Genomic DNA, 18,828 nt, shown 5'->3' on the forward strand with positions numbered 1-18,828 from the left:
ATCTACAGTGAACTCATTTTCTACAAAGGTGCCAAGAACACACATTGGAGGTAGGGACCATCTCTTCAATAAATGGTGCGGGAAAACTGGATATCCATACACAAAAAATGAAACTAGGCTCCTATATCTCTTGCCATATACAAAAATCAAACAAAAATTAATTAAAAACTTAAATCTAAGACATGAAACTACTAAAATAAAACACTGGGGAAACTCTCCAGGACATTGGTTTGGGCAAAGCTTTCTTGAGTAATACCCCTTGAGCAAATTTCTTGAGTAAATTTGCTTTTAAGTAAAAGCAAAAGTAACCAAAGCAAAAACGGACAAATAGGATCACTTCAAGTTAAAACACTTTTGCACAGGAAAGGAAAAAATCAACAAAGTAAAGAAACAACCCATAGAATGGGAGAAAATAACTGCAAACTATCCATCTGACAAGGGATTAATAACCAGAATATATAAGGAACTCAAACAACTCCATAGTAAAAAAAAAAAAAAAAAAAAAAAAAATTTTGATTAAAAAAAGAATGAAAGATCTGAGTAGACACTTCTCAAAAGTAGACATACAACTGGAAAACAGGTATATAAAAAGGTGCTCAACATCACTGATCATCAAAGAAATGCAAACCAAAACTACAATGAGGTATCATCTCACCCCTATTAAAATGGCTTATATCCAAAAGACAAGCAATAAGAAATGCTGGCAAGGATGTCAAGAAACAGGAACTATCATATGTTGTTGGTGGGAATGTGAATTAGTATAGCCACTACGGAAAACAACTGCATTCCTGGACATTTATCCCAATGTGTACCCTGCTGTTTTTAACAGCTTTACTCATAATAGCCTCAAACCAGAAGTGAACCAAATGTCTTTTAACAGGTGAACAGTCCAACAAATGGTGGTATATCCACTACTGGATGGAATACTATTCAGCATTATAAAGGAACAAACTATTGATAAGTATAACCTAGATAAGTCTCCAAGGAATGTGACAAACAAAAAAAGCCAATCCCCAAAGGTTCCATACAATATAGTTCTATCTCTGTAACATTCTTGAAATGACTAATGGAGAACAAATTAATGGTTGCTATAGGTTAGCCATGGGATGTGAAGGACAAAGGGAAAGGTATGGTTATAAAAGGGCAACATGACATATCTCTGTGGTGTTAGAAATGTTCAGAATATTGACTATGGTGGTGAAAACCTACCATGTACACAGGTAATAAAACTACACAGGTAACCTACACAAGTAATAAAAATGAATAGAACTTAAAATACATAAACATACACACACACATACAATTAAAACTGAGGAAGGCCAGGCATGGTGGCTCACACCTGTAATCCCAGCATTTTGGAAGGCCAAGGCGGGTAGATCACCTGAGGTCAGGAGCTCAAGACCAGCCTGGCCAACATCGTGAAACCCCATCTCTACTAAAAATGCAAAAATTAGCTGGGCATGGTGACGCACACCTGTGGTCCCAGCTACTCGGGAGACTGAGGCAGGAGAATTGCTTGAACCCAGGAGGCGGAGGTTGCAGTGAGCTGAGATTGCACTACTGCACTCTAGCCTGGGCAACAGAGCGAGACTCTGTCTCAAAAAAATAAAATAAAATAAAACTGAGGAAATCTCAGTAAGACAGATTGTATCAATGTCCATGTCCTTACTGTAATATTATAGTATAGTTTTGCAAAATGTTACCACTGGAGGAAACTCGGCAAAAAGTGCAGGGCAACTCTCTCTCTCTATTATTTCTTAGCACTGCATGTGAATCTACAATTATCTTAATTTCTAAAAAAAGACAATCATTAACTACAGGGAAAATAAAATGTTATGCAAGAAAGGAAAGCAACTATAACCAACTATTTGGCTTAACTATGAATAGTTTTCGTGTACTCAAAAAAATAATAACACACAAAAATGATCTAACTAAAATTACAATAATTGTATTGGAGGGATACAAGGCTAATGTGCTTATACACCACAGGGCGGGAGGAGGGGCTGAAAAAGAGAACAATAGCCTCATCTTCCAGAAAGTCAACAGGTGATACCTAAAACCAAAAAACCAGGAAGTAGCATTTAGCATGCTATTTAGATATAGAGACAACATTTTAAAATCCATTAAAATAGCTGAGAGAGGCCCGTCGCGGTGGCTCACACCTGTAATCCGAGCACTTTGGGTAGCCAAGGCGGGTGGATCACCTGAGGTCAGGAGTTCGAGATCAGCCTAGCTAACCTGGTAAAACCCCGTCTCTATTAAAAATACAAAAAAAGGCTGGGCGCGGTGGCTCACACCTGTAATCCCAGCACTTTGGGAGGCCAAGGCGGGCAGATCACCTGAGGTCAGGAGTTCAAGACCAGCCTGACCAACATGGAGAAACCCCGTCTCTACTAAAAATACAAAATTAGCTGGGCGTGGTGGCACATGCCTGAAATCCCAGCTACTCAGGAGGCTGAAGCAGGAGAATTGCTTGAACCCGGTAAGTGGAGGGTGCAGTGAGCCAAGACAGCACCATTGCACTCCAGCCTGGGCAACAAGAGTGAAACTCTGTCTCAAAAAATATTAGCTGGGCATGGTAGCAGGCGCCTATATTCCCAGCTACTCGGGAGGCTGAGGCAGGAGAATCACTTGAACCCGGGAGGTGGAAGTTGCAGTGAGCTGGGATTGCGCCATTGCACTCCAGCCTGGGCAACAGTGAGACTCTGTCTCAAAAAAAAAAAAAAAAATAGCTGAGAGAAGTTGTTTAGGGAGTGGGAAGTTTGGAGGTTGGGGAGGAAGGCCAAGAGACTGTTTTCTACAAGCCAGGTAGAATATTTGATTCTTTAAATACATACATGAATAATTTTGTTAAATAAAAATTTTATTTTTACAAATTTTCTATTCCACCTCCCTTAAAGTACAGGAAGGAAGGGAAGAAATTAACAGAAAACATCTTATGCAATTAAAACAGATTATATTAACATTCAACCATCATGCCTAAACTGGTTAGTGTCCTAAGGAAAGATCTATGTCATTTCTAGGGTTTCATAACCCTCTGTTGCACGTACCGTGTCACTAAGCATCCTACGGATATTCAGAATACAGTCTTTCCTTACAGAATAGGTGGTATTATATTATTAATACATAACAAAATCTGAATTTTTACAGGAATTGTAGATTCCATATAATAATCATGATTGAGTTTATTCTATAATAAGCCATTCAAAATTTTAGGAAAGTTGTTTTTCTATACCTCATTCCCCAATTTTTAATCATAAAGGCCTTGAAAACCAGCATGGTAAGTAAATATTCAATATTATTCTTTATTCAAAAATTAAAAGATTCAAAATATAAATACTATCAAAGGAATGTATAATTTAATAAATAAAACTTAACATTTTCTGCCATGATTTCAAAACAACTACTCAACAGTAACATAATTCTATGTTATCTCTACTTCTAAAATTAATAATGCTCCATTAAATAATGACAATTTGGTTAAAACTTTGGGATTTCAACAATCTCTTCAGCAATATCCCATACCACCTCCATGTGATTCAAAAATACATAAACTTATTTTTGCAAAGAAAGTGGTATGGCAAAATGGCCAATACTACTTTATATAAAATATAAGTCTAATAACAGGACAAAATGTTAACAGTAATTTTATCTTTGGGATGCAGAAGTGAAAGGATTGCTTGAGGCCAAGAGTTCAAGACTAGCCTGGGCATCAAAGCAGGACCCCACCTCTACAAAAAAATATAAAATATACTAGCCAAGGGTAGTGAGACACACCTATAGTCCCAGCTACTTGGAAGGATGATGCTGGATGATTTCTTGAGCCCAAGAGTTTGAGGTTGCAGTGAGCTATGATCATGCCACTACACTGCAGCCTGGGTGACAGTGAGACCCTGTCTCTAAAAAAAGGTTTTATTGGCCGGGCACAGCAGCTCACACCTGTAATCCTAGCACTTTGGGAGGCCGGCGGGTGGATCACCTGAGGTCAGGAGTTCAAGACCAGCCTGGCCAACGTGGTGAAACCCCGTCTCTACTGAAAATACAAAAGTTTTTTTTTTTTTTAACCGTGATTATCTCAGAGTGCAAGGAATACAGGGAGTGCTCATTCCCTCTGTTACCTTTTTTATTCCTTTCTGACTAGCTATCTAATTCTACAATGAACATATTAAAAGTATTTAAAAGAACATAACGAAAAACAGCTCTCCAAGAATGAACACATAACACACCTCAGCAGAGATGCTCCTAGGAAGTCCCTTAAAAGTCAGTGACAAAGGCTAGGGGAATAAGCTTCAAAATAAACAAAAGTCATAAACTTAAAAAGGAGAAGAGAGAAATATGGTAAGCCATAACTTATCTTAATATAGCTTAAAACTTTATCTCAAATCATTCTACACCTTCTTAATCCCTATAAAGAAGTAACACAGGCCAGGTGCGGTGGCTCACGCCTATAATCCCAGCACTTTGGGAGGCTGAGACAGGTGAATCACTTGAGGCCAGAAGTTAGAAACCAGCCTGGCCAACATGGTGAAACCCCACCTCTACTAAAAACATAAAAATTATCTGGACATGGTGGCGCATACCTGTAATCCCAGATACTTGGGTGGCTGAGGCACAAGAATCGCTTGAACCAGGAGGCAGAGATTGCAGTGAGCACAGATTAGACCACCTCACTCTAGCCTGAGTGACAGAGCGAGACTCTGTCTCAAAAAAAAGTAACTTGCAGAAACACTTGTACTACACTTTGCCTAACTGTCACATTCAATATCATTTTCTAAAACATACTTTTAAAACATCAGATGAAATTGATAGCACTTACTGCTGTAAGGCCTTCATTATTACAAATGTTGACATCAGCGCTATATTCTAATAATTTACTCATACATTTCTTCTGCCTGAAAAGAAAAAAGAGTCATGGATAACTGGTACTTAAAAAATATATGCAAATGACAATTAATTTACTGAAATATTAGCAACAATCAATAACAGCTGATGACATCATAACATCTTTATCTGTAATATCAAGCCATATCTGCAATATTTAAACAAACACTACTTGACGCAAGATACAAAACTGCTTCTATGACTCAAAGATAACAGGATAAAACAATGACACAGTCAGGTTTTCATATCATTGGGACAAATCACATTCAAACTGTAGAGAAGTTTCTAGTATTGACTAAGTTCATGAAATAGTAATATTCATTAGAAATATAACAAAATACAAGTCTAATGGAAGGGGAATGGATAGAGAAAAATGATGTCTCAACATTGTATCCTACATTCTTGACAGCAAAACATTTAAAACATAACACTAAGATGTTACAAAACCATACTCAGAATATCAATAAAATGCATGTCTATGCATCCCTCTACTCACTGGAGGGTGAGGAGGGGGATGTAGAGATTCTTTTTTTTTTAAGTTATTTGTATTGTGGTAAAATACATATAAAATTTGCCATCATAACTTTTTTTTTTTTTTGAGACAGAGTCTTGCCAGGCTGGAATGCAGTGGCACGCTTGGTTCACTACAACATCTGCCTCCCGGGTTCAAGTGATTCTCCTGCCTCAGCCTTCCGAGTAGCTGGGACTACAGGCGTGTGCCACCACGCCAGCTAATTTTTGTATGGGTTTTTTTTTTTTTTTCTGTGATGGAGCTGTGCTCTTGTTGCCCAGGCTGGAGTGCAGTGGCGGATCTTTGCTCACTCACTGCAACCTCCGCCTCCCAGGTTCAAGTGATTCTCTTGCCTCAGCCTCCCAAGCAGCTAGGATTTCAGGCGCATGCCACCATGCCCAGCTAATTTTGTATTTTTAGTAGAAACGGGGTTTCACCATGTTGGCCAGGATGGTCTTGATCTCTTGACCTCGTGATCTGCCCGCCTAGGTCTCCCAAAGTGCAGGGATTACAGGCGTGAGTCACCACGGTGGCCCATCATAAACATTTTTTTTTTTTTTTGAGACGGAGTTTCACTCTTTGTTGCCCAGGCTGGAGTGCAGTGATGCGATCTCGGCTCACTGCAACCTCCGCCTCCCAGGTTCAAGCAATTCTTCTGTCTCAGCCTCTCGAGTAGCTGGGATTACAGACATGCACCACCACGCCAGGCTAATTTTTGTGTATTTTAGTAAAGACACGGTTTCACCATGTTGGACAGGCTGGTCTTGAACTCCTGACATCAGGTGATCCACCCCCACCCCCCCAAGCCTCCCAAAGTGCTGGGATTACAGGCGTGAGCCACTGCACCCAGCCTCCATCACAACCTTTTTTTTTTTTTTTTTGAGACAGAGTTTCACTTTTGTTGCCCAGGCTGGAGTGCAATGGCACAATTTAGGCTCACTGCAACCTCTGCCTCCTGGGTTCAAGCAATTCTCCTGCCTTAGCCTCCCAAGTAGCTGGGATTACAGGCGCCCGCCACCATGCCCAGCTAATTTTTCGTATTTTTAGTAGAGACTGGGTTTCACCACGTTGGCCAGGCTCATCTTGAACTCCTGATCTCAGGCAATCCGCCTGCCTCAGCCTCCCTAAGTGCTGGGATTACAGGCGTGAGCCACCACACCCGGCCCCCATCACAACCATTTTTAAGTGTATAGTTCACTGGTAAATAGTCCAGTGAGTAAACAGTAATACATACAATACAGTGTGTATATGTTAAATACATATGTATTGTATACATATTATATAATAAATATAGTAGTAATGTAATATGAGGTTGGTGCAAAAGTAATGGTGGTTTTTGCCATTACTTTGAATGGCAGAGTATATACTATACATGAATATATTACTATTTATTCAACTAGATCATAAATATCTTCATACCATGGATTATATCATATTTCTTTAATCAACTCAGTAGTAAGCATAGCCAGGCTCATAGTAGCTCTCAATAAAACTTTGATTATTAATATTCAATCTTGTAAGTCAATAGCTAAAATTCTCATTGATTGAATAAAACTTTTTAGAAAAAAACAACTGACAAGTTACTTTTCTTGCTTTTTGTACTTGTAATGAAGTTAAATATCACTTAAAATTAGCATTATAATCAAAGAAACTGAAGAAAATAAAGCTCTGGGTAAACTTTTTTTTTTTTTTTTTTGAGACAAGAGTCTCACTCTGTCGCCCAGGCTGGAGTACAGTGGCACGATCTCGGCTCACTGCAAGCTCCTCCTCCCAGGTTCACGCCATTCTCCTGCCTCAGCCTCCTGAGTAGCTGGGACTACAGGCACCCGCCACCATGCCTGGCTAATTTTCTGTATTTTTAGTAGAGAAGGGGTTTCACCGTGTTAGCCAGGATGGTCTCGATCTCCTAACCTCATAATCTGCCCACCTCGGCCTCCCAAAGTGCTGGGATTACAGGCTTAAGCCACCACACCCAGCCAACTCTGGGTAAACTTTTAAGATAAAACATTTACAAAGTTCCTTTATCTAACACACTGTTAGGAAAACCTTAAGAAATAAATATTCAATAATCATGAGACCACAAACCAGATAGTCCCATTAAAATAAATACATTGTTTAAATGTGTGATCGTGTGTCTATACCTATATGGGTGGATTTCTAAAACCTTTCAGAAGCCTATTATGGACCACTGGCCTAAGCCAATAATGGCAAAATAAATCATTAGGTAGGAATGAGCCAGGGAAATAGGCCCAAAAAAGTGTTTATGGTAGGGGTTGTTGAAGAAAAGCAGTAATCTATAATGCTTCCCCTTCCAAAAATGAATTGCAAAAGGTACAGGGAATGTAGGAGAGAAATATATCCTATCTTTCTATTGAACAACCATTATTACTATTTTCCAGGGTCTGAATAAGTCAAATCAACCCAATAAATAAGTAGCTATTTTGCTAACAGAACTAAAATATTATGTAACACATGGGCCCTACCCTTTATGAGCTCATAATCACCTAAAAAATAAAGAAAAACTCTTCTTTCAAAACTGACCAAAACACAACCTAAGAACACACAATAATTTTAAAGCCTCTCCTTTTAACATTCTCATATAAGCATGAGCAATGCTGAATCCCCCTGTACAAGGAAGCAACTATATTCCTGCTCAGATATTGCACCAATTATAGGGAGCTTATGGCAACCCAAATTACACAGGGACCAGTCACCCAAGTGCTCTGTGGAAGCTTAATGGGGCTTCTTTTGGAAAGGAGGACAATCCAATACAGCACTAATGGCAAAGAGAAAAATGCTAAAGCAAGCCAAGAGAAATATAGCAGCCATCTGATGACAGCTGAGGGAACAAAACAAAAAGCTGGCCCCAAAACGCAGACTGACCAACAAAATGGGAAGAACTCTACTATGACTTCTACTTCAGTGTGGATAAATGTGAACTCATAAAGAAATTACAGTAAAAAGCTATTTCTGAAAACATCAGCCACTACAGGAAGTACTCAAGTCACTTAGCAAACATTGAGCACCTCTAAGTTGTACAAGGCTTCCACTCAATAAATAATAAAAACCAAAATATTTAAGTATTGAATATCAAGAGTAATCTTTATAGAAACAGAAAGGCATCCAAATTAAAGAGAGGGTCATGAATTCTTTTTATTCCTTTTCTTCTTGCTGAATAGCTATGTGAATCATGTAATATCTGCCATATTTCTTCACCTTTAAAATGTAATGGTCTTCAATCACTGTTGACAGAAAGAGTGATCAAAACTATTTCTTTTCTCTGTGCCACTTTATTTGTTTCTAAAAAACGGTACATGAAAATTCTTTTCAGCAGACCAAGAACATCCTGCCTTTCAAGTCTAAGACTTATTTCTTGCTCCTCACACTGAAGTCTTATGACTAAGTCGCCTACTGAAATGACAGCAGAGTGTTTATCCCTGCTCTGCACTAATCTCTCCTTTCATTAACATAGTTGTTGAAACAGAGTACTATGATATTTTTCTACATGTAACCTTTTCAAGACCTTTGTCGATACCCTATCAACACGTGGAATAATGTACCTAGACCTGAGATCAATTCAGCAAGGGAATGAATGATTTACTCTATGACCTTGGGTGTGACACATTACAAGATATCTAACATGGCTAATTATAAAAACAACTGTTTAATCAGCACATTGTTACCTATGAGAACAGTGGACAATTAAACTGGCTCACATGCTAAATCAGGAAATGGAGCAGATCAGCAAGAGTCAAAGGACTATGCCCTTCCCCTGTCCAACCTAGGCAACACTATTGCTGTCTTTTTTGCTCTGTTTTAATCTTTATACGCAAAAATTTGGCCTCGGATTGATGTAATGGACAATTTTTAGCTCCATATCCATCTTATTAGGCAGCCAACTCAAATATCTAGAAGCACAGTTGAGAATAGGAAACAAAAACATCTTCAAGAGTAATTAAAAAAAAAGACACAACGCATTTGTATACCGTGTCCATAGAGAAGTTTTTTGGGGTTTTTTTTGTTGTTTTTGATGTTTTGAGACAGAGTTTCCCTCTGTTGTCCAGGCTGGAATGCAATGGCGCAATCTCCACTCACTGCAACCTAGCTCTCCCGGGCACTCAAGCGACTGTCATGCCTCAGCCTCCCAGGCTCAAGCAATTTTCATGCCTCAGCCTCCTAAGTAGCTAAGATTACAGGCATGTGCCACCATGCCTGGATTATTTTTGTATTTTTAGTAGAGACAGGGTTTCACCACGTTGGTCAGACTGGTCTCAAACTCCTGACCTCAGATGATCCGCCCGCCTTGGCCTCCCAAAAGGCTGGGATTACAGGCCTGGACTCCATAAAGAAGTTTTACAGTGTTTGAAAGTGTTTAGGCCGGGTGCGGTGGCTCACGCCTGTAATCCCAGCACTTTGGGAGGCCGAGGTGGGCGGATCACCTGAGGTCAGGAAATCGAGACCATCCTGGCCAACATGGTGAAACCCCGTCTCTACTAAAAATACAAAAATTAGCTGGACGTGGTGGCACGTGCCTGTAATCCCAGCTACTCAGGAGGCTGAGGCAGGAGAATCACTTGAACTCGGGAGATAGAGGTTGCAGCGAGCCGAGACTGTGCCACTGCACTCCAGCCTGGTGACGGAGTGAGACCCCATCTCAAAAAAAAAAAAAAAGAAAGAGTTTATAAAATATAAGTTCTTCAAGTCCTGAATCAAAAAATACTTATTTTCATTTTAAACATAATTCCAATCATTTTGGTCTGATTTCTCAGACTAAATAAAAACTAATGTTAGCACTAAAAGGAGTAAACTACCCTAGTATCTAAGAAGATTACTCTGGTACAGCTCATTCACAATAATTACAAATAAACTGTGTACAATATATTAAGTCTGTGTATAATTCCATTAATAAAATTAGCTAAACAAGCAATTTGCAAAATGAGCCATGGAGTTAGGAGTGGCAAAAGATTAGCAGAAAAAAAGCACACTAAAATAGAGATGAAAATTATGCTTTTCAGAAAATACAATGTCACTATAATACAAGTAATAATGAACTTCCACATATAATATTTTCAAGAAGAAAATTAGTGAGAATCTAATAAATTAATAAATATGATAGCTATTTTTAAATTGAATATAATGACCCCAGATCCACTATAAAGAAGAACAATATCATCAATAATATCTTTGAGAGACAAAAAAAATATAGAAAATAAAATATGCACCATTATTTTAGTTTTTCCCAAGGTAAATATCAGGGATGCGGGAGGAATCATCAAACGAAGGCAAAGTGCCTTGAATAACTGATAATACAACTTAAGCCACTTAAGAAAACTAAATAGTTACCCATTTCTTGCTGCCAAATGAAGGGGTGTACAGCCTGAAATATCTTGATAGTTAGGATTTGCTCCTTTCTTTAACAGCAAAACCAAGCATTCCACCGATCCACAACTAAAACAATATTAAAAGACAGTTCAGATACATTCAACATACAGCCATACTTGATGTAGTTCAATTAAAAAACAAAATATTCTATTAAACACAATTTTCTTTTTGTTTTTCAGACAGTCTTGCTCTGTCGCCCATGCTGGAGTGCAGTGGCACCATCACAGTTCACTGTAGCCTTGACCTCCTGGGCTCAAGCAATCCTCCCACCTCAGCCTCCCAAGTAGCTGGGACTTACAGGCATGAGCCACCACAATTGGGTAATTTTTTTTTTTTTTTTTCTGTAGAGAAGAGACCTCATTATGTTGCCCAGGCTGATTTCAAACTCCTGAACTCAGGCAATCCTCCTACCTCAGCCTCCCAAAGTGCTGGGATTACAGGTGTGAGCCGCCATGCCTGGCCTTAAACACATTTTTTTTTTTTTCTTGAGACAGAGTCTCGCATGTCACCCAGGCTGGAGTGCAGTGGTGCGATGTCAGCTCACTGCAAGCTCCGCCTCCCGGGTTCACGCCATTCTCCTGCCTCAGCCTCCCGAGTAGCTGGGACTACAGGCACCTGCCACCATGCCAGGCTACTTTTTTTTGTATTTTTAGCAGAGACGGGGTTTCACCATGTTAGCCAGGATGGTCTCAATCTCCTGACCTCAAGATCCGCCCGCCTCGGCCTCCCAAAGTGCTAGGATTACAGGCGTAAGCCACCACGCCCGTCCTTTTTTTTTTTTTTTTTTGAGACAGAGTCTTGCTGTGTCACCCAGGCTGGAAAGCAGTGGCACAATCTTGGCTCACTGCAACCTCAGCCTCCAGGGTTCAAGCAATTCTCCTGCCTCAGCCTCCCAAGTAGCTGGGATTACAGGCGCACGCCATCACGCCGAGCTGATTTTTGTATTTTTAGTAGAGATGGGGTTTCACCATGTTGGCGAGGCTGGTCTCGAACTCCTGACCTCAAGTGATCTACCCACCTCAGCCTCCAAAAGTGCTGGGATTACAGGTGTGAGCCCCTGTGCATGGCCTTTTAAACACATTATTTTTACCTATAATTTGATTTAACTTCTGACACAAATAGTAAACATTCTCTACTTTCAAGATGGTCCATTCTACTATGAAAATTATAAAGTATTTGAGAAATTCAAATACTTCAAAGAAACCATATGATACTTTCAACCTTCTGGCCTTTCGTAAGCCAAATTATTCATGAAAAATTAATTTCAACACATCTACCTAAATCCTGAAAAGAGGATAGGTACCAATTAGTTAACTGATTGATTACATACCAGGAGACTGTAGATAAAAATCATTCTCCACCTATGTAAAAAATATAAAGCCAATGACTTCATCTGCAGACAGCATATAAAATCTCATATTGCTGGGATAAAAAGAAAATTTTGGTGAACTGTACCAGTAAGTACATCCAGGAAAGACAATCTCCATGTCTAACCTACTCTCATCTGATATAAAACAAAGACAAGAGGGACATGAGATTTACATACAATCCCAAAGTTAACAGTTTAGAGACAGAACGGATAGCACACCACGCGCTCAAACAGGATAAAGAACTACTCAGCTGTCTGTTCTCATCTCTCCCCAGAAATATTGTGTGATAATGCTGTTCAAAGCTTACTGATCCTTGCCCTAGATCAGAGTTTAACTCAAAATATCTTTAGTCTTACTTTGCTGCAATGTGAAGCAAGCTTCTTTTCACACGTCCGAATGCATAATTGACATCAAATTTTGAATTTGATAGTAGTTCAGAAACAGACCTATGCCAAAATAAAAATGAGGAATCAAGTGTAAAAAAAGTTTTTAAAAACATAATAAATCAAGTTAACAACTCTTTAGCTGCTCTGTTTGTTTGTTTGTTTGTTGAGACAAGAGTCTTGCTCTGTCACCAGGCTGGAGTACAGTGGCGAGATCTTGGCTCACTGCAACCTCCACCTCCCTGGTTCAAGCAATTCTCCTGCCTCAGCCTCCCGAGTAGCCAGGACTACAGGCGCATGCCACTACACCCGGCTAATTTTTGTATTTTTAGTAGAGAGGGGGTTTCACCAAGTTGGCCAAGATGATCTCAATCTCTTGACCTCGTGATCTGCCTGCCTCGGCCTCCCGAAGTGCTGGGATTACAGGCGTGAGCCACCCCACCCGGCCTAGCTATTCTTCTGATTCTTCAGGTTTTGTCCCACACCCACCACAAAATACTGCACTATTCTCTTAGTATGTTAGCCAGCTCAGTATCATCCAAAAACCAAACGCCTTGACCAATAAGCTGGTGCTGAAGGTTTCCTCATCTGCCACTTGGATAATCCTATGTTACCTGCTCTTAGGACACACAACAGACTAAGCTGGCTTTAGCTTTCCTTAGATTCTTGAGAAACAAAGGGTGTAGGCCTGGCTGCTCCCCTTGCCAAAAGTTGAGCCTAGCTATATTAATTTTGGCCAAATAAAGAAAATCAGACAAAAAACATTTTTTAATTATACCAGGTAGGAAATTTAAAACAAAAAAAAAAATTTTTTTAACTTGTTTCAAAATAGTTTCTCTTTACATTCTTCTTCTTATATCAAAAAATTCAATGGCTAGCCATGGCAGAGCTGACTGGTGTAAGTGTAAAGACCCCCTCACAAAGCCAAATAATTGTATTTCATATATGGCCCTGTAAAAGAATGTCAACACTACATCAATAAAAGGAACACAAAAATAAGTAGCACATAAGGGAAATAAGTTGTCCCTCAGCCATAATCTTTTACTATAAAGATCAGTAGTGACCTCTAAAAGAAATCATGACAATGTATTTTTCTATGTGAGTGACCAACCAAATACTTAGTATTTCAATATTCATTAAGAAAATCTATCATAAAATGTTACAGCTCATATAGATCTTGGAAAATCTTATTCCTTATTTCACACACACAAAATTATAACAGAAAAGTTAAATAACTTGCCCCAGAACATCTATGTCCAAACTGTCTGTGTGTGTGTGTGTGTGTGTGTGTGTGTGCGCGCGTGCGCGTGCACGGGCATGCAGTACACATTTAGAACAATGTATGCTTCTTAAAAAGCAAAAATTTTTGGAACAAGCACTCACCTGTGTTGATCAGCCATAACCATTGGCATTAATGTATAAACAGCAGTTTCATTATCTGAGTAAAAAAAAACAAAGAGTTCATTTATCCCCTACTTTGTGCAAGGGGTGATACTTAAGATTAGTTTAGAATTTTCCTAACTCTATACAAAAAGCGAAAAGGAGAGGAAGAAGGAGGAAAGAATAATGCAGAATACCAGAGGTATTTCAGAATTTACGATAGTGAAGAATCTTTCATCCCCTCCACTGCTTATCCCTTTTACATCATTACAAAAGAGCTTAGCTTCTGGATGTAAAAGGACAATTAAAGACTGATTCTTCAGAAGGTTTTGTCCCATTATCCACCAAAAAACAATTCTCTAAGTGTAGTATGGTAGCCCGCGCATCATCATCCAAAAACCTTTCTGTAGCTTTAACAATTGAAATTTCTTTTACTTCCAAAGAGGTATTTATAGGCATCATGTTTTATCATACTTACATGTAGTTTGGGGGAATTTTAAATATATATGGATATTAAATATATATATGCTAAAATAATTTTAAAACCTTAAATATACACAATACTGGCTTCTTGTCAATATTATTACAAAAGAAATTAGTTTAGAAGCTTTTATGAAAGAGCACTGAAGTCTTCATTGTACTTACCACTTTACTCACAACATTTTTATTCATATGTGCTATGGTTTGAATGCATCTACCAAAAGTTCATGTGTTGGAAATTTGGTTGCTATTATGGCAGTGTGAAGAGGTGAGGCTTTGGGGAGGCAATTGAGCCATGAGGGCTCCTCTTTCATGAATGGATTAATTCTGTTAATCCAGGAGTGGGTTAGTTATAATGAAGTTCAGCACCCTTCCTCTCTCACCGTTCTGCCTTCCACCATGGGATGACTCTTACTCGATGCTGGTGCCACACTGTTGGACTTCCCAGCTTCCAGAACTGTGAGAAATACATTTGTTTTCTTTACAAATTATCCAGTCTGTGGTATTGTTGTATCAGCAGAAAACAGGCTAAGAGAGACCCTTTACACAATAAATTCACAAAAACATGACCCAAAAGGTTAAAAATCAACATCTATGATGCCATATTATACTTATGTACATTTTAGCTAGTGTTTTGAATTGATTTTTATATATTACTAAGGGTCATTTCTCAATTCAATGTATTTTGGAGGTTTATGTTTTTTAATAAATTATTTACAAAGATGAAACCCTGACAACCCCCACTCAGCCCTTTAAAAGTTAATGCTGATGCTCAGTTAATAGGTTAAAGTTTAAGGAGAAACAAGATATTTACACAGTATCAAGTACCTCTCAAAAATACTGACTAATTACAAAGGAAAAAGAAAATTTATAGTGAAGAACCCAGCAGACACTATCTTAATCAACTGACAAAGGGTAACATCACCAAAAATAATATATGCTCAATATCATATAGTTACTGATATGATCCACTGAAAGGGGACACATCACTTTTGCAGTACAGCAGTCCCCACTTATCCGCAGGGGATACATTCCAAGACCCCGAGTCAATGCCTAAAACCATGGATAGTACCAAACCCTATGTATATGATTTTTTTCCCTACATGATAAAGTTTAATTTATAAATTGGGCACAGTAAGAGATTAACAACAATAAATAATAAATTAGGACAATTATAATACTATACTGTAATAAAAGTTATGTGAATGTGGTCTCTCTCCCTCTCTCTCAAAATATTGTGCTGTGCCTCCCGCAACTGAAACCTCGGAAAGCAAAGCTGCAGATGAGGGTGGACTACTGTTCTTGCCAAAAATGCATAACTTCAATCTAATCATGAGAAAATGTCAGAAAAGCCCAAATTAAAGGGAATTCCACAAAACACCTGATCAGTCCTCTTTAAAAGTCTCACGACCGTTAAACACAAAGAAAAACTAAAGAACTATCACAGTTTGGAGGAGACTAAAGAAACATAACTAAAGGCAATGTGGTATCCTGAATTGGATCCGTAAATGACATTAGTGGGAAAGCTGGTGAAATTTTAACAAACTCTGTAGTATAGTTAATAGTATACACAAATGTTAATTTCTTATTTTTGACAACTGTACTGTGGTTGTACAAGATGTTAACCTTAGGGAAAGGTGAGTGGAAGTTACATGGGAGGAACTCTGGGCTATTCATGTAAGTTTTCTGTAAGTTTAAAATTACTTTAAAAAATACTTATTTTAAAAGGAGGAGGAACTGTCATACATTAAGAGTCTTAAGAGACACATCAACCATACGTAATATGTAGTCCTTATCTGGATAGTGATTCAAAAAAAAAAACTGTAAAAGGACATTTTTGAGACAATTTTTGAGATGAGGACAAACTGTATATGGACTTGGTATTTTATTTCAAGATAATACAATATTACTGTTAATTGTATTGGCTCTAGTAATGGTATTATAATTGTGTTTGAAAAACATAATTCATATGTTTAGAAATATAAACTGAGCTATTTATAGGGGAAATGGAAAAAAGTTATCAATATTCCTTCACATATTTGTTCATTATTTTACTGTGAGTGTATACATGAAAAACAATTTAGTCCTTGGCAACATTCACAAGTTCAGTATGCAGATGCAACAACTTTTTCACTATAAAAGTAAAATACTAATAAATCCTATTAATAACATTTAAGAACCATTATCTTAAAGGCACTTTTCTAAACACTTTGCATGTATCATTGCTTTTCTCCTCACAACCACCCTATGAAGTAGGTACTATTATCCTCATTTTACAAATGAGAAAACTGAAGTACTAGTTAAGTAACAAGCTGTGTAACAGTGGCATTATGTGGCTGATTCCAGAGCCTCTACAAATAATATATCCTGGCTGGGTGCAGTGGCTCACGCCTGTAATCCCAGCACTTTGGGAGGCCAAGTCAGGCAGATCACAAGGTCAGGAGATCAAGACCATCCTGGCTAACAAGGTGAAACCCCATCTCTACTAAAAATACAAAAATTAGCCGGGTATGGTGGCAGGCACCTGTAGTTCCAGCTACTCGGGAGGTCGAGGTAGGAGAATGGCGTGAACCCAGGAGGCAGAGCTTGCAATGAGCCGAGATCATGCCACTGCACTCTAGCCTGGGCAACAGAGCGAGACTCCATCTCGGAAAAAAAAATAAAAAATAAAGATAAAAAATAAAAAGATAATATATCCTACAATGCACCCAGTATATACCACATAACCAGAAGGTCTACAATAGAATACTATTCTTAATATGTAAAATAGACTCTGTTTTATCCTCTTATATTTCTTTTTTTAAATGCTGACTGCAACCCACTAATTGCTCTCAGAAACTACCAATGAGTCACCACCAGGAGTTGAAAATACTACACTAAGCCTCCCTTGGCATGACAACATTCTTTATCGTTCATATAATAATACATGTCCCAATAAAAATCTGAACTTCTAAACCATGAGAATTTCCATTAAGTCACCCCATAATAAAGTCATAAAAAACACTGTTATTTGTGGGTTTAAACTTAAATCAAGATAAACTTTAAATCAAGATAGTGCATAATTTTAAGTGAGCGTTAGTGAGCATAATAAGGTTCACAATGGTTGTACTTGTAAGGTTTTTATTTTTTAGATAAAAATTAGATTTACATCTTAAGTCACATCTAACCTAAAGAAAAAAGTAGGTCACATACATTAACAGGTAAGTATGAAGAAATAAATCTAACCACAACTGTGGTGCTAGAAGAAGACTATCCAAGAAATACTATACTAAGAAAGGACAGAATACAATTTGTTGCCAGATACTTCCTTGTCTACTCTTGAAGACACCTTCAGGATTAGGTATATAATTAAAGTCTCCAGGGTGACAAGAAAAGTTTAATCTATCACTTTATTAGACATGTTTGCCATTTTTATCACTACAGTTTCAAAACCCAACTGTTAACAAAAAAAAGGTGCTCAGAGTAATTAATTATATACAATTTCTCTTCAAACCATCACATGGAGTAATTTTTTTAAACACAATTATCCCAATCACATATGCTAAAATGGGCTCAAATTTTATTATTTTATTAAACAAACTGCATTCACTATATAGTAGTTCAAACTTTACATACACTAACAACATACACCTTCCTTTTATTTATGTGTTTTTTTTTTGAGACTGAGTTTCGCTCTTGATGTCCAGGCTGGAATGCAGTGGCGCGATCTTGGCTCACTGCAACCTCCGCCTCCCAGGTTCAAGCAATTCTCCTGCCTCAGCCTCCCAAGTAGCTGGGATTACAGGCACCCGCCACCACATCCAGCTAATTTTTTGTATTTTTAGTAGAGCCGGGGGTTCACCATGTTAGCCAGCTGGTCTCACACTCCTGACCTCAGGTGATCCACCCACGTCGGCCTCCCAAAGTGCTGGGATTACAGGTGTGAGCCACTGCGCCCGGCCTCCAACTTTTAAACACTACTAAGAATCCATATCCCTAAAGTAATTTCTTACTCTTCACCTCTTTTTCTCTCAAGAATATTCCTGTGTTAGGCCTGCCTAGGAGGACTCAACTACCTGCACTCCATTACTTAGGGTAATACTCAGGTTTTCATCATCTCAAGGAAACATAGCATCCAACTCAGTTTATCAAACATCTATAGTTTCAACCTTTGCAACAAAATTAATTTTAGAGTACAAGCTGACTAAAAAGTTTACAAGTTTAATAGTTTGTTGTAATTAGATGCTTATTGATTACTGAATTCTAACAAAGCAAAAAAAATCTGATTATTTTCTAAATTTAGAGAGATCTCAGAGTTTCCATTCAGCTCTTAAAATGTAAGCACAAATGTGGATTTGTATCAGTAGGAATGTTATATATATATTTACATATATATATTTATTTACATATATATTTACATATATATTTACATATATATATATATATTCCTATATGTATGATA

The 18,828-nt window shown here is 38.1% G+C and overlaps 1 protein-coding gene across 18 annotated transcripts in view; it reads right to left on the bottom strand.

The window, feature by feature from the left end:
* Positions 1-18,828, bottom strand: part of HACE1 (HECT domain and ankyrin repeat containing E3 ubiquitin protein ligase 1) — a 131,826-nt gene that overhangs the window by 110,313 nt on the left and 2,685 nt on the right. For 13 of the 18 annotated variants that reach the window (NR_146789.2, NR_146790.2, NR_146791.2 and 10 more), the window contains 4 exons: positions 13,911-13,965; positions 12,501-12,590; positions 10,736-10,840; positions 4,817-4,892 (listed from right to left, as the gene is read on the bottom strand). Coding sequence is in view for 6 of the 18 variants with exons in the window: in NM_001321080.2 (NP_001308009.1) it covers positions 4,817-4,892; positions 10,736-10,840; positions 12,501-12,590; positions 13,911-13,965 (326 nt within the window). In the remaining 12 variants the exon portion in view is untranslated. The remainder of the gene's footprint in view (positions 1-4,816; positions 4,893-10,735; positions 10,841-12,500; positions 12,591-13,910; positions 13,966-18,828) is intronic. The other 5 variants (NR_146787.2, NM_001350555.2, NM_001350560.2 and 2 more) reach the window with 1 other exon arrangement.

The sequence above is a fragment of the Homo sapiens genome, chromosome 6, assembly GCF_000001405.40.
Source record: "Homo sapiens chromosome 6, GRCh38.p14 Primary Assembly".
In the NCBI taxonomy this organism is placed as follows: domain Eukaryota; kingdom Metazoa; phylum Chordata; class Mammalia; order Primates; family Hominidae; genus Homo; species Homo sapiens.